This window comes from Homo sapiens, chromosome 9 (genome assembly GCF_000001405.40).
Source record: "Homo sapiens chromosome 9, GRCh38.p14 Primary Assembly".
Lineage (NCBI taxonomy): Eukaryota > Metazoa > Chordata > Mammalia > Primates > Hominidae > Homo > Homo sapiens.
In genome coordinates this window covers 88123089-88138908 of record NC_000009.12, presented here as the reverse complement: position 1 = coordinate 88138908, position 15820 = coordinate 88123089, and the positions used below count along the sequence as shown (strand labels likewise).

General features: G+C 51.9%; 1 protein-coding gene across 2 annotated transcripts; it reads left to right on the top strand.

Annotated features, from left to right (window-relative positions):
- The first annotated feature begins 433 nt into the window (after nt 1–433).
- SPATA31C2 (SPATA31 subfamily C member 2) lies at nt 434–9604 on the top strand. 2 transcript variants are annotated; one of them, NM_001350978.3, is made up of 4 exons: nt 434–651; nt 5240–5315; nt 5883–5943; nt 6199–9604. In NM_001350978.3, exons 1-4 carry the CDS (start codon nt 463–465, stop codon nt 9275–9277), a joined length of 3405 nt encoding a protein of 1134 aa, NP_001337907.1. In that variant the 5' UTR covers nt 434–462; the 3' UTR covers nt 9278–9604. The 2 variants fall into 2 exon arrangements, with proteins under 2 accessions (NP_001337907.1, NP_001159609.1); NM_001166137.1 differs by lacking the exon at nt 434–651 and adding an exon at nt 3924–4141.
- Nucleotides 9605–15820: the final 6216 nt, after the last annotated feature.

Genomic DNA, 15820 nt, shown 5'->3' with positions numbered 1-15820 from the left:
CCCTGGATTCACAGAAGACAAAAACATTGTGTGGGAAAGCTGGAGTTGAGGACGAACGAGATTCTGAAAATAAAAATCCCTGGTACATAGCCAAAATTTCAGAGTCAACTACAGATTTTCAAAGGCTATGAAATAGGTAACCTCAAGCCACCGACTCCAACAGATAAAAGGAACCAGGTAATATCTGTGTTCCAGGGAGAAAGAATAGAAAACTGGCTGAGTTCTATCACTGACAAAACTTAGTGCGAAGGAGGGATCTGGAAGGCGGGAGGGTGAAGGGATCCCCGGCTTGGAGGGTGGGGAGGGGCTGTGCTTCGGCCTCCCCCTCCTACTGCCCCTCCCCAACAAAGGAGCCCTTTGTGATGTGAAGCCCCAGCTCTGTGATGCGGGCCTGGGCCCCAGTCCCTAGTCTCCACGAGGATGCCCAGAGCTCAGTTGCTAGAAAGCAATGCGCCTATTCACATGGAGAATCTTCCCTTTCCTCTAAAATTACTTAGTGCCTCATCACTAAACACCCCCAGCTCCACACCATGGGTGTTGGATATCTTCCTCACCTTGGTGTTTGCCCTGGGGTTCTTCTTCCTATTACTCCCCTACTTCTCTTACCTCCGTTGTGACAACCCACCCTCACCATCGCCTAGGAAGAGAAAGGTAAGGAGCTCTCAGTCCAGACCCACAGAGCTTGATTCTCTTCTTTCTTTTTATTATTAGTTCCACCTTTCCAAATCCAGTGGAGACTTCTGCGATGGGAAGTCTCAGGAGAGACCAGAACAGCATGCTTCCAGGGAGAGGCAGGGCAGCCAGGGGTTGGTAGGGGTAGATCGTGTACTGGGATTTCCATCCCAAGCTCTCAGTCCATCTGTGGGGGAGCGCAGGAGGCATGAAGGCAAAATCAAACCCGTGGGCTCAGCGGCCAGGACCGGTCATGAGACGGGGGAGGTCTCTGGTCATGAGACGGGGGAGGTCTCTGGTCATGAGATGGGAGGTCTCTGTCCGAGGCCAGGCCCTGAGCCCTGGCTCATCAGTCCCTTCCTGGGGCAGGTGGCTCGGGACCCAGCCTCTTCTGTGTGGGGTGATATGGGGCCTGTGCTGGGCCCCCGAGGGCCTCCCACCGGGGCCTGGCATCTCCTCTGGTCTCCTGGCAAGCAGAATGCTACCTGACAGCTCAGTGGTGCCTGCGGGCCTGAGCCTGGGTGTTCCTGGAGCAGAGGAACAGGGACTGATGGCGTCCATGGTGGACCTCATATTGAAAATCCCTGTGTGTGTGCGTGTGTGTTTGTGTGTTATTTTTATTTATTTTGTTTTTTGTGCAGGCTGCAGTGAAATGGAGCGATACCGGCTCAGTGCCACCTTTGCTTCCAGAGTTCAAGCTATTCTCCTGTCTTAGCGTCCTGAGTAGCTGGGGATTACAGGCGCCCGCCACCACGCCTGGCTAATTTTTGTATTTTTAGTAGAGATGGGGTTTCACCATGGCCAGGCTGGTCTCAAACTCTTGACTTCAGGTGATCCACCTGCCTCAGCCTCCCAAAGTGCTGGGATTACAGGCATGAGCCACCGCGCCCGGCTGATCCTTTTTTTTTTTAATAAAGACATGAGGTTAGATTGAGGTTATTGTTTTGTCTATGGTATCTAACTGCTCCAGAACCACTGTACTATTGAACCGATATTGCACTTTTTTCAAAAGTCAGTTGGTTGTACTTGTATGGAACTATTTCTGAGTTCTCAATTCTGTTTTATTGAACTGTCTGTCCCCCTGCCAATACCACACTGTCTTGATTTCTGTAGCTATGTAAAAAGTTAAAAAATTGGGTAGAATAATTCCTCCCACTTTATTCTTCTATTTCAGACTTGTTTTGTTGAGCTGTATTATAGAAAAAACTATTCGTGACACCTGTTAAAAAATAGTAAGACAAACGTTATTCAGAGGGATTATTGCAATAGATATAGAGATTACTGCAATAGGGTCTTGCAGTAATCTCCAGTTTCCATATATTCAGGTTTCCCTCTGAATAGAAATTTTATAGCCACAGAGCAGGGTGGAGGGGTGGTAGTGTATGGAAAATTACTAATAGGAGGGAATCTGGCTAAACTGACCTCACAGAATTCTTGCTGAAGCCATGCCAGAGTGATCAGATATCACCTGGGGATGGTAGACAATAAGAAAACCAATTAGATACCAATGGTGGTCAGATATGAAGATGGAGGAAGACTCCATCTCAAAAAAAAAAAAAAGATCACATCTCAATGTAAAAATATGAAATTTAATGAGAAATTCTTCAGGTCCTAGGACTTGATGAATAATTATTAGACATGAACCAGAAAAGCACAATCAATTCTAAGAATTTATTAATTGGATGTTATCAAAATTTAAAACTTTTGCCCTGCATAAGAGCCTGTTAATAAAGACAGGGTAAAAACTGGAAGAAAAGTGCAAACCACACCTGATAAACCATATCTGACAAGGAGCTCATATCTAGAATATTGTTTAAAGTTTTCAAAAGTCAACAACGACAACAAGAAAAAACAAGCCAATTAGAAAATGGGCTAAAGGCACGAACCGATATTTCACTGAACAGGATAGATTGATGGAAAATGAGAAAATAAAATAACTTTTATCAGAGGAATGCCAGTCCTTTTAAATTATCAAGCCCAGAGAGACATTAAAATAAGACAGCAGGCCCGGCACGGTGGCTCACGCCTGTAATCCCAGCACTTTGGGAGGCCAAGGCGGGCGGATCACAAGGTCAGGAGAACAAGACCATCCTGGCCAACACGGTGAAACCCAGTCTCTACCAAAAATACAAAAAATTAGCCGGGCGTGGTAGCACATGCCTGTAGTCCCAGCTACTCGGGAGGCTGAGGCAGGAGAATGGCATGAACCCAGGAGGCACAGGTTGCAGTGAGCCAAGAGCGTGCCACTGCACTCCAGCCTGGGCAACAGAGTGAGACTCCATCTCAAAAAGAAAGGAAAACTGCAGGTCCTGCACATGTACCCCGGAACTTAAAATAAAATTACATAAGTACATAAATAGAATTTTAAAAAAATCTTAATTGTATGTGGGTAGGTCCCTTTGATTCAAAGTGAGATAGAAGGATGGGCGCAGTGGCTCATGCCTGTAATCCCAGCACTTTGGGAGGCAGAGGCGGGCAGATCACAAGGTCCGGAGATCGAGGCCATCCTGGCTAACACGGTGAAACCCCGTCTCTACTAAAAATACAAAAAGAAATTAGCAGGGCGTGGTGGTGGTGGGCGCCTGTAGTCCCAGCTACTCAGGAGGCTGAGACAGGAGAATGGCTGGAACCCGGGAGGCGGAGCTTGCAGTGAGCCAAGATCACGCCACTGCACTCCAGCCTGAGCGACAGAGAGGGACTCCGTCTCAAAAAAATAAAAAAAATAAAAAAAAAGGAAAGTGAGATAGAAATAATTTTTTAAAACTTACTATTCAAAATTTGCAAAACTAAATAAGAGTAAAAGAAATTTACATTTTGTCCCTGGATTCACAGAAGACAAAAACATTGTGTGGGAAAGCCGGAGTTGAGGACGAACGAGATTCTGAAAATAAAAATCCCTGGTACATAGCCAAAATTTCAGAGTCAACTACAGATTTTCAAAGGCTATGAAATAGGTAACCTCAAGCCACCGACTCCAATAGATAAAAGGAACCAGGTAATATCTGTGTTCCAGGGAGAAAGAATAGAAAACTGGCTGAGTTCTATCACTGACAAAACTTAGTGCGAAGGAAGGATCTGGAAGGCGGGAGGGTGAAGGGATCCCCGGCTTGGAGGGTGGGGAGGGGCTGTGCTTCGGCCTCCCCCTCCTACTGCCCCTCCCCAACAAAGGAGCCCTTTGTGATGTGAAGCCCCAGCTCTGTGATGCGGGCCTGGGCCCCAGTCCCTAGTCTCCACGAGGATGCCCAGAGCTCAGTTGCTAGAAAGCAATGCGCCTATTCACATGGAGAATCTTCCCTTTCCTCTAAAATTACTTAGTGCCTCATCACTAAACACCCCCAGCTCCACACCATGGGTGTTGGATATCTTCCTCACCTTGGTGTTTGCCCTGGGGTTCTTCTTCCTATTACTCCCCTACTTCTCTTACCTCCGTTGTGACAACCCACCCTCACCATCGCCTAAGAAGAGAAAGGTAAGGAGCTCTCAGTCCAGACCCACAGAGCTTGATTCTCTTCTTTCTTTTTATTATTAGTTCCACCTTTCCAAATCCAGTGGAGACTTCTGCGATGGGAAGTCTCAGGAGAGACCAGAACAGCATGCTTCCAGGGAGAGGCAGGGCAGCCAGGGGTTGGTAGGGGTAGATCGTGTACTGGGATTTCCATCCCAAGCTCTCAGTCCATCTGTGGGGGAGCGCAGGAGGCATGAAGGCAAAATCAAACCCGTGGGCTCAGCGGCCAGGACCGGTCATGAGACGGGGGAGGTCTCTGGTCATGAGACGGGGGAGGTCTCTGTCCGAGGCCAGGCCCTGAGCCCTGGCTCATCAGTCCCTTCCTGGGGCAGGTGGCTCGGGACCCAGCCTCTTCTGTGTGGGGTGATATGGGGCCTGTGCTGGGCCCCCGAGGGCCTCCCACCGGGGCCTGGCATCTCCTCTGGTCTCCTGGCAAGCAGAATGCTACCTGACAGCTCAGTGGTGCCTGCGGGCCTGAGCCTGGGTGTTCCTGGAGCAGAGGAACAGGGACTGATGGCGTCCATGGTGGACCTCATATTGAAAATCCCTGTGTGTGTGCGTGTGTGTTTGTGTGTTATTTTTATTTATTTTGTTTTTTGTGCAGGCTGCAGTGAAATGGAGCGATACCGGCTCAGTGCCACCTTTGCTTCCAGAGTTCAAGCTATTCTCCTGTCTTAGCGTCCTGAGTAGCTGGGGATTACAGGCGCCCGCCACCACGCCTGGCTAATTTTTGTATTTTTAGTAGAGATGGGGTTTCACCATGGCTAGGCTGGTCTCAAACTCTTGACCTCAGGTGATCCACCTGCCTCAGCCTCCCAAAGTGCTGGGATTATAGGCGTGAGCCACCGCACCGTGAGCCACTGCACCCGACCCCCTCTTCCTGTTTTTCTAAGAAAAGCAGTTTATCATCCATTTAAACATGAGTGGGAGGGGAGGAAGCACACAGAGCTCCCTGAGCAAGACAGACAGAGCCATGCGGTTCATGAGTGCAGCGTGCTGCGGCTGGGCTGGGGGCAGAGAGGGAGAGCCGGTCCTAGCTCCTCGCCATTTCTTGTCTCCCAGCGTCATCTTGTCTCCCAGCGTCCAGCAGGGCGGAGGGGGAGGCCCAGAGGCAGGATGAAAAACCACAGTCTGAGAGGTAAGGCTCTGCCAGGGCACACTAGAGTTAATTTGATCTCATCTGTCCGGGAGGGAACTGACTCTGAAGAAGTCAGTTGAAAAAACCTGAGGTGGGGGCTCCTAGGAAGGAAATCAGAACCCTGGGTCCTTCTCAGATTCTGTGCCGCCGGAATGAAGCCATGGTGGGCCAGGGACTGAGCGTTACCCAGCAGGGGGCAGTGTGTGTGTCCTGGGGAGACCAATGCCTGCCTGGATGCGGAGGGGGGTGAGGGGCCTCCCGCTCCCTGGGAACAGCTGTTCAACTCTGCTAAGGCTGATTCCTCTCTGAGACCACCCCAGTCCTTTCTCCTCACAGGGCAGTTGTGAGGACCGTGGGGGTGGAGGGTCTGTGTGTGGAAGCCCTTTGTGAATGACAAAGCCCTGTCCTCTATGCCTTGCTATTACCGTCGGGGCCATGTGGCTTTGGACACAGATGGGTGGGTTCCAGGGTCTAATTCCCCATGGTCTTCCCTAAAGAAACATACACTCAGCCTCCTGTGAGATCCCAAGCCCCTCCCTCACTGCCCTAACCCGGTCTGATTTCCAGCTTGTAGAGAGTGCCCGAGAGGCCTGGAGGAGACTTGGGACCTGCTTTCACAACTGCAGAGGTGAGGCACTTCCCCTTCCCTGCGTCCTTCCTACCAGGGCTGGGACGTGACCCCAGGGCCACAGGCAGCCTGGAGCTGACCTGGGATGGAGAGACCAGGGGGACAGAGGATGGGAGTAAAGCCCTGGGGCGAGGGGTAGCAGGAGAATTGGGTGGTCAGGGTGTGGCGTGGTGGAGGGGCTGTGGCCCAAGCGCCCACTCTGCCCTCCGAACCCATCTGCTCCTGGCTGCAGCTTGTGCCTCCTGTCTCCTGCAGCCTCCTGGGGCCACACCTTGAAAAAGGTGACTTTGGTCAGCTCTCTGGTCCAGACCCGCCAGGTGAGGTGGGCAAAAGAACACCTGATGGAGCCTCCCGGTCCTCTCATGAGCCTACGGAAGACGCTGCTCCCATTGTCTCCCCGTTAGCTTCCCCGGATCCTCGAACCAAGCATCCTCAGGATCTGGCCTCCACCCCACCACCAGGCCCAATGACCACCTCAGTCTCCTCCCTAAGTGCCTCCCAGCCACCAGAACCTTCCCTTCTCCTAGAACATCCCTCACCCGAGCCACCTGCACTTTTCCCTCACCCACCACGCACTCCTGATCCTCTGGCCTGCTCTCCGCCTCCTCCGAAAGGCTTCACTCCTCCTCCCCTGCGGGACTCCACTCTGTTAACACCATCTCACTGTGACTCAGTGGCACTTCCACTGGACACCGTCCCTCAAAGCTTGTCTCCACGTGAGGATTTGGCGGCTTCTGTCCCAGGCATCTCAGGCCTTGGCGGCTCAAACAGTCAAGTTTCTGCCCTCTCCTGGTCGCAGGAGACTACCAAAACCTGGTGCGTCTTCAACTCGTCAGTCCAGCAAGATCATCTTTCCCGCCAAAGGGACACTACAATGTCCCCACTGCTTTTCCAGGCCCAGCCCCTGTCCCATCTGGAGCCTGAGTCCCAACCCTTTATTTCATCCACACCCCAATTCTGGCCCACACCTATGGCTCAGGCCGAGGCTCAGGCCCATCTTCAATCCTCTTTCCCAGTCCTATCTCCTGCTTTTCTATCCCCGATGAAGAACACTGGAGTAGCTTGCCCTGCGTCGCAGAATAAAGTGCAAGCTCTCTCCCTACCTGAAACTCAGCACCCTGAAAGGCCTTTGTTGAAGAAACAACTAGAAGGTGGGTTGGCTTTACCCTCTAGGGTCCAAAAATCTCAGGACGTCTTTAGTGTCTCCACTCCTAACCTTCCCCAGGAAAGACTGACATCCATTCTGCCTGAGAACTTTCCAGTCAGTCCTGAACTCTGGAGACAACTGGAGCAACACATGGGGCAACGTGGAAGGATCCAAGAGTCTCTGGATCTGATGCAGCTTCAGGATGAATTGCCAGGGACAAGTCAGGCCAAGGGCAAACCCAGGCCCTGGCAGTCCTCCACGTCCACAGGTGAAAGCAGCAAGGAGGCACAGACGGTGAAGTTCCAGCTAGAGAGGGACCCATGCCCACATCTGGGGCAAATTCTGGGTGAGACCCCACAAAATCTATCCAGGGGCATGGAAAGCTTCCCAGGGAAGGTTCTGGGGGCGACCTCTGAGGAGTCGGAAAGGAACCTGAGGAAGCCCTTGAGGAGTGACTCAGGAAGTGATTTATTAAGACGCACAGAGAGGAATCATATAGAAAACATCCTGAAAGCCCACATGAGCAGAAAGTTGGGCCAGACCAACGAGGGCTTGATCCCCGTGAGTGTGCGTCGATCCTGGCTTGCTGTCAACCAGGCTTTTCCCGTCTCCAACACCCACGTGAAAACCAGCAATCTAGCAGCCCCGAAAAGCAGGAAAGCCTGTGTGAACACAGCCCAGGTGCTTTCCTTCCTTGAGCCGTGTACTCAGCAGGTGCTGGGAGCCCATATTGTGAGGTTTTGGGCCAAACACAGGTGGGGTCTACCCCTCAGGGTCCTCAAGCCCATTCAGTGCTTTCAACTGGAAAAGGTTTCATCCTTGTCCCTTATACAGCTTGCTGGTCCCTCCTCAGACACCTGCGAATCTGGGGCTGGCTCAAAAGTTGAGGTGGCCACGTTCCTTGGAGAGCCACCAATGGCAAGTCTGAGAAAGCAGGTGCTGACCAAACCATCTGTTCACATGCCAGAGAGGCTTCAGGCCTCCTCACCTGCATGTAAGCAGTTCCAGAGGGCCCCGCGAGGGATCCCATCTTCGAATGATCATGGGTCCTTGAAGGCTCCTACAGCTGGACAGGAGGGCAGGTGGCCATCTAAGCCCCTCACATACAGCCTCACAGGCAGCACCCAGCAGAGCAGGAGCTTAGGAGCCCAATCTTCAAGGGCTGGAGAGACCAGGGAGGCAGTGCCACAACCCACAGTCCCCTTGGGAACCTGTATGAGAGCAAACCTCCAAGCCACAAGTGAGGATGTGCGTGGTTTCAAGGCTCCAGGCGCCAGCAAAAGCTCTCTACTCCCTAGAATGTCTGTCTCCCAAGACCCAAGAAAGCTGTGTCTCATGGAGGAGGCTGTTAGTGAATTTGAGCCTGGAAAGGCCACGAAGTCAGAGACCCAGCCTCAAGTTTCTGCCACTGTTGTGCTCCTTCCAGATGGGCAAGCATCTGTTGTGCCCCATGCTTCAGAGAATTTGGCTTCTCAAGTGCCCCAGGGCCATCTCCAGAGCATGCCTACTGGGAACATGCAGGCTTCCCAGGAGCTATGTGACCTCATGTCAGCCAGAAGGAGTAACATGGGGCACAAGGAGCCCAGGAACCCAAACTGTCAAGGCTCATGCAAGAGCCAAAGCCCAATGTTTCCCCCTACTCACAAGAGGGAGAACTCTAGGAAGCCCAACTTAGAAAAACATGAAGAAATGTTTCAAGGATTGAGGACTCCTCAACTTACCCCAGGCAGGAAAACAGAAGACACCCGTCAGAATGAAGGCGTCCAGCTACTGCCATCAAAGAAACAGCCTCCTTCAATAAGCCACTTTGGAGAAAACATCAAGCAATTTTTTCAGACGATTTTTTCAAAGAAAGAAAGGAAGCCAGCACCAGTCACTGCTGAGAGCCAAAAAACAGTAAAAAACAGATCATGCGTGTACGGCAGCAGTGCTGAAGCTGAGAGGCTCATGACAGCAGTTGGACAGATACTGGAGGAGAACATGTCACTTTGCCATGCGCGCCATGCCTCGAAGGTAAATCAGCAAAGACAGCAGTTTCAAGCCCCAGTCTGTGGGTTTCCCTGCAACCACAGACACCCGTTCTACTCAGAACACAGCAGAATGCTGAGCTATGCAGCCAGCAGTCAACAAGCCACTCTCAAGAACCAGAGTCGTCCCAACAGAGACAGACAAATCAGAGATCAGTAGCCCTTGAAAAGTGTCCGGTGCAACAATGAGCAATGGGGCCTGCGACATCCCCAACTCTTGCTCCCCAAGAAAGCTGTATCCCCAGTCAGTCCCCCTCAGCACCGGCCGAAGACACCCAGTGCCTCCAGCCACCATCACCACTGACCAAGGCACTGTCTTTTTCAGGGAGGTATCTAATTTGGTCAGTCACAAATTCCTTTTTAGCCTTCCCTAGAGAAAAACAAGTCACCAAGAAAAAATTCACTCTATGTAGAGGAAAAGTATTTTCTCTCATGTTAGTACACGCAGAACATTTAATATTCCACAATATATACGGTTTTTTATTCATAAGAGGGTGATGGCTTTTATTTGTGCTGTGCTTGGTGTGGGCTTGGTTTCTAGAAGCAACAGGACATGGAGGGAGGCTGACAGCGGTGCTGTAAGCCCACCTTCATCCTGAGTTCCTTCACTGAACCTTATGTTTCCGTAATACCATCTTTACACAAACAACAAAAAATTCTAAAAACAAGATGAGAAAAACCTATGAAGATCCCACTCTGAAATAAGGTTCAACCCATCTTTCCACTACTTACTGTCCACCTCAAACTTTATGCAACTATAGGGAGAAGGTTTGCAGAGATGTCACAGGGCTGAACATCTCCATGCAGGCTCCAGGAAGTGCCACAGCCGAATAACTTCATGTGTCACAAAATAGTGGAAGTTTGGGTGGGAGAGTGCTGGACCCTGAGTTCAGAAGTGGGAGAAGTCTTGACCCTGGGTATCCTGGTGAAGAATAGATAATGTCTGCCCTGGAAAGCCCCTTCTCTCCCTGACAAAGGCTGGGATGGAGATGGGCCCTCTTAGCTCAGCCAACATGTGAAGCACAGAGTCCCCATCCCACTGCCTCTCCCTTTCTCGCACTCTGGAGTGGTGGTGGGGATAGACCTTCCAGCTCTGTGCATGTGTAGGTGGGGGGCGGGGGGCTGGGGGGACGGCCTTCATGGAGGCTGCTGAGGGCGGTGAACTCCCCTGCCCCAGATGAGTGAATGACCCTGCTAGGAAGTCAGAGCCTGCAAGGGCCGTGGGGGTATCAGGTGGAGTGGGCTCCAGGTACACCCTCAGTGCACTGGGCAGGTCTCAGGCCAGGCTCTCTGGACCCCACCTGGGTGATGTGGTCACTCCCTGGGGGACTGCTGTCAGGCCCCGGCCACCCACCCTGGGCAGCACCGTCCCATCGCAGGACTGGACTTTCTGAGTCCTGAGACAGGACGGTGCTGCCCAGGCCTGACAGACTGGGAGGAACTGTTACGTCCTCCATCTCTAGACCAGCCTCCCACACAGCACGGACAGTCTCTTACCTTTACCTTCAGGAATGATCCTTCTCACTCTAAGGCAACCAAGGCAGAGCTGAGGACCTGTGCCAGGCTGGGAGTCAGTCCCCTCCCTAAACGGGCCTGAGGGAAGCACCATCCCTGTCCCAATCCACCACAAATTTCTGCCCAGGAGACACATAGGGAAGGGAGGACGGGGCCTCCCTGCTGGCTGACACTGGAAACGCGGGACCTGGAAGAAGAGGGAGCGCAGGGCTGGCAGGGGATGCTCCAGGTCCATGGAGATCTCGGGCTGCACCATGGGGCTGCCCCTCCTGGGCTGGAGGCTGTGCCCTCTGCAGGATCTGAGAAAGTCCAGTCCTGAGATGGGACAGCACTGCCCAGGGTGGGTGGCTGGGGCCCGACGGAAGTCCCCCAGGGAGTGACCGCATCACTCGGCCAGGGTGCAGGGAGCCTGGGCTGAGACCTGCCCAGTGCACTGAGGGTGCAACTGGAGCCCACCCCACCTGACGCCCCCACAGCACTGACAGGATCTGACCTCCCAGCATGTACCTGCCTCTCCCTGCACCCCAGCTGCCCACGCTGTCTGTTCCCTGGCTTCCTCCATCCCGTGCAGCCCATAGACTGTGACCATCTCACCGGCCACTCTGGCCCTTCCTTTGCCTTTGTCCTGTCAAAATCTCTGAGCAAGATCTCCCAGGTCCATCCAAACACCTGCTTTGTCCACTTTTGACTGGGCTTTTGGGCACCACTGGCCCATCCGAGCTGTCCATAGGGCCTGTGATAACGTGCATTGCACCTGGCATCTCCCAGCAGTGCTCAGCAGCCCCCGCACCAGGTCCCTGCTGACCAGATCCCGCACATCAGGTCCTCCCTGACCACACCCTCACTGATTAGAACCCCATGACCATGCCCCACTAACCAGGCCCTGCTGCCAGGCCCACAGTGACCAGGACCCTACTGACTGACCACGACCTTACACACCAGGGCCTCACTGACCAGGTCCTCACTGACAAGGCCTCATTGATCAGGTTCCACCGATCATGACCCCATTGCCTGGCCCCACAGATGAGGTTCTACTGACTAAGCCTCCGGGGAACAGGCTGCCACTGACCAGGCCCCTATTAAGCAGGCCCAAGGTGACCAGATACTTCTGACTATGACCCTAGTGAGTAGGCCCCACTCAATGGGCACCCACTGCTCAGATCCCTGCTGACCAGGTCACCCACAGACCAGTGCTACAAAAGCCACCACTGACCACGCTCTCTCTGAACAGGCCCCCACTGATTAGGTTCCACTGACCAGGCTGCCCTGATCAGGGCCCCACTGACAAGGGCCTCACTGATGAGGACATGGCCACCAGGTCCTGCTGACTAGGTCCCATGTGACCAGGCCTCCACTGAATAGCACCCATTGACCTGGTCACCAGTGACCCAGCTCATGCTGACAAGGCCACCACTAAGCCCCAGCTGACCAGGTCTCCACTGACAAAGTCCTGCAGCCTAGTTTTACACTGACCAGACACCAAACAAGTGGCTGCCACTAGGTCCCCACTCACCGAGACGCCCACTACTAGATCCCCCTAATGAGACCCTCTCTAAGCAGACCCCTGCTGACCATGCCCCCAATAAACAGGCCTCACTGACCAAGTCCCAACTGACTAGGTCCACTGACGAGGCCCACACTGATCAGGGCCCTCCTAACTATACCAGAAGACCAAGCGACAATGAGATATTTCATATGGCAGGAGTAGGAGCAAGACAGAGAGAGGAAGGAGGTGCTACATCCTGTTATACAACCAGATCTCAAGAGAACCCACTATCAGGAGATCAGCATCAAGAAGATTAACCATTGGTGAAGGAACCACCGCCCATACCACCACCCACTGTTGCCAGGCAGAAGCCTCCTGCAGAGGCAGAGCCTCTTGGGAAACTTCCACTATGGCAGTGCAGAAGGAAAATATGGGCTTGGAGCTCCCACACAGGAGGCCACCATCCTCCAGACCCCAGATTCATAAGCCCACCAACAGCTCGCACCCTCAGTATGGAAAGGCTACAGGCACTCCACACCAGCCCAGCCCATGGGAGCAGCCATGGGGGCTGAAGCCTGCAAAGCCACAGGTTCACTGTCCTAGTAGAGGTTTTCCACAAACCTCTGCCTCTACAGCAGACTACTCCCTCTTCCTACTACCCCCCACCCTCCCACCACCCTACTGCCAACCTACTCTCCACCCTACCCACCCCTTTTCCTTCCAACCCCAACCCCCTCTTGCCATGATTAAATCACCTCCCACCAGGTCCCACCTCCAACATTAAGAAGTACAATTCACATGAGTTTTGTAAATAAACACAGCCAAACCATATTATTCTGACCCTGATACCCCAGAATCTCATGTCCTTCTCACAGAGCAAAATACATTCATGCCTTTTCAAAAGTTTCCTTCCAAATGTCTTAACTCATTCCAGCATTAACTCAAAAGTAAAAAGTTCAACATCTCATCTGAGACAAGTCTACAGTCCCTTTTGCCTATGAGTCCCTGAATTTAAAAGGATGTTCTTTTCTTTCAGGGTACAATGATGGTAAAGGCACTGGATAAGCTTTCTCAATCGAAAGGGAAGAAATTTCCCAGGAAAAAAACACAAATAGGACCACAGGCCCAATGCAAGTCCAAAACCCAGGAGGCCAGTATCCATTCAATCTCACAGCTCCAAAATCATGAAGAAAACTCACTATCATAAGCACAGCAATAAGGAGGTGGTGTTTAATCATTTGTGAAGGATCCACCCCCGACCACCACTTTTCACCCCTCACCCCCACCATAATCCCCTCATTCTCCCTACCCCCACCTTCCAACCCCCCCTCTCCACCATGATTAAATCACCCTCCACCAGGCCCCACCTTTAACTTTATTATTCTGTCCCTGGCTCCCAAATCTCATGTCCTTCTCACATTGCAAAATACAATGATGCCTTCTCTACAGCCCCTCCAAATCTTATATCATTCCAGCATTTGTACAAATGTCCAAAGCTTAAAGTCTCATCTGACACAAGGCTACAGTCCCTTAGGTGCATGAGCCTCTGAACAATAAAGCAAGTTAACTACTTCCAAGGTACAATGCTTGTGCAGGCAATGTTACGTAAGCATTCTCAGCCGAAAGGAAGAATTCTGCCAGAAAGAACAAAACACAGGACTTACAGGCCCCATGAAACTCCAAACCCAGAAGGCTAGTCATTCAATCCTACAGTTCCGAAATCATCCTTTCTGAAACCTTGTCCCACATCCAGGGCACAGGGACGTGAGGGCTGGGCTCTGAAGGCCCTGGGCTGCTCTGCACCTTTGGTTTTGCAGGGTTTATGCCCCACGGCTGCACTCATGGGCTGGGCGGGTGTTGAGTGCCTGTAGTTTTTCCCGACTGATGGTACAAGCTATCGGTCGGTCTACGAATCTGGGGTCTGCATGATGGTGGCCTCCAGTGTGGGGGCTCCAACCCCGTATTTTCCTTCTGCACTGCCCTAGTAGAGGTTTCTTATGAGGCTCTGCCTTTTTGGGATGCTTTTTTCTGGTCACCCAGGCATTTCCATACATCTTCCAAAGTCTACAGAGAGGCTTCCAAGCCTCTAGTCTCAAGATCCGTCCACCCAGTGGCTTACCAATATGAGGAAGTTACCAAGGCTTCTAGCCTGCACTCTCTGAAGCAGTGACCCAAGCTGCATCTGTGCATTTTCAGCCATGGCTGGAGCTGGAGCTGCAGGGATGCAGGCAGCAGTGCCCTGAGGCTGCACATAGAGGGGGGTCATGGGACTGGCCCAGGAAACCATTCTTCTCTCCTAGGCCCCAGGGCCTGTGACAGGAAGGGCTGCTGCAAAGTTCTATGAAATGCCTTCAAGGCCTCTTCCCTATTGTCTTGGCTATTAGCACTGGGCTCCTTTTTATGCAAATTTCTGAAGCCTTCCTGAATTTTCTCCCTGAAAATCAGATTTTCTTTTTGACCACTTGGCCAGGCTGCAAATTTTCCAAACTTCTGAGTTCTGTTTCTTATTTAATGTAAGAGTTGGGACTTGTTTAATGGAAGTCCCATCCAGAGGTCATTTCCTCAGTCACACATCAGAGCACAGGCTGTTCAATGCAGACAGGACACCTCTTGAGCTTTGCTTCCTAGAAGTTCATTCCACCAAATATGTACTAAGTCATCACCCTCAAGTTTAAAGTTTCACAGATCTCCAGGGCAGGGTCACCGTGCCACCACATTCCTTGCTACAGCAAAACAAAGGTAACCTTGGCTTCTGTTCCCAATAAGTTCCTCATTTTTATCTGAGACCTTCTAAGTCTGGCTTTCACTGACCATTTTCCTGTCAGCCTTCTGATCACAAGTATTTAACAATTCTCTACAAAGATCCAAACTTTTCCTCATTTTCCTGTCTTCAAAGCCCTTCAAACTCTCCCAACCTCTGTCTGCTACCCCCTTCTGAACCTGCTTCTACTTTATCACCTATCTTTGTCACAGCCTGGCAATGTGGTAAAGGAAGGCAAGTCCATTTTCAGGGGGAAAATTCAAGGCTTCAGATACTTGAATGAAAAGAAGCTGAGTGCTGATTGCCAAGACAACAGGGAAAAGGCCTTGAAGACATTTCATACATCCACTTTCCAGTACTAATTTTCTCTATGATCATAAAGAATCTCATGATTCTGCAGGCTGTAAGGAAACATAGTGGCTTCTGAATCTGGGAGGACTCAGGAAGCCACCCAGTCATATCAGAATGTCAAGGGGCAATGAGATGATTCATGTGGCAGGAGTAGGAGCAAGACAGAGAGAGGAAAGAGGTGCCACACCCTATTATACAACCAGATCTCATGGGAACTCACTATCACAAGCTCAGCATCAAAAAGATGGTGCTTAACCATTGATGAAGGATTCGCCCCCCACCCCCAACTCCCACTGTTTCCAGGCAGAAGCCTGATGCAGAGGCAGAGCCTCTGGGAAAACCTCTCCTAGGGAAGTGCGGAAGGAAAATATGGGCTTGGAGCTCCCACACAGGATACCATCATCCTCCAGACCCCAGTCATAGACCCACCAACAGCTCCCACCCTCTGCATGGAAAAGCTACAGGCACTCAACACCAGCCCAGCCATGAGAGCAGCAAAGCCACAGGTGCACTGCCCTAGTAGAGGTTTTCCATGAGCCTCTACCTGTGCAGCAGGCTACTCCCCCTTCCTACTACCCACCACCCTCCCA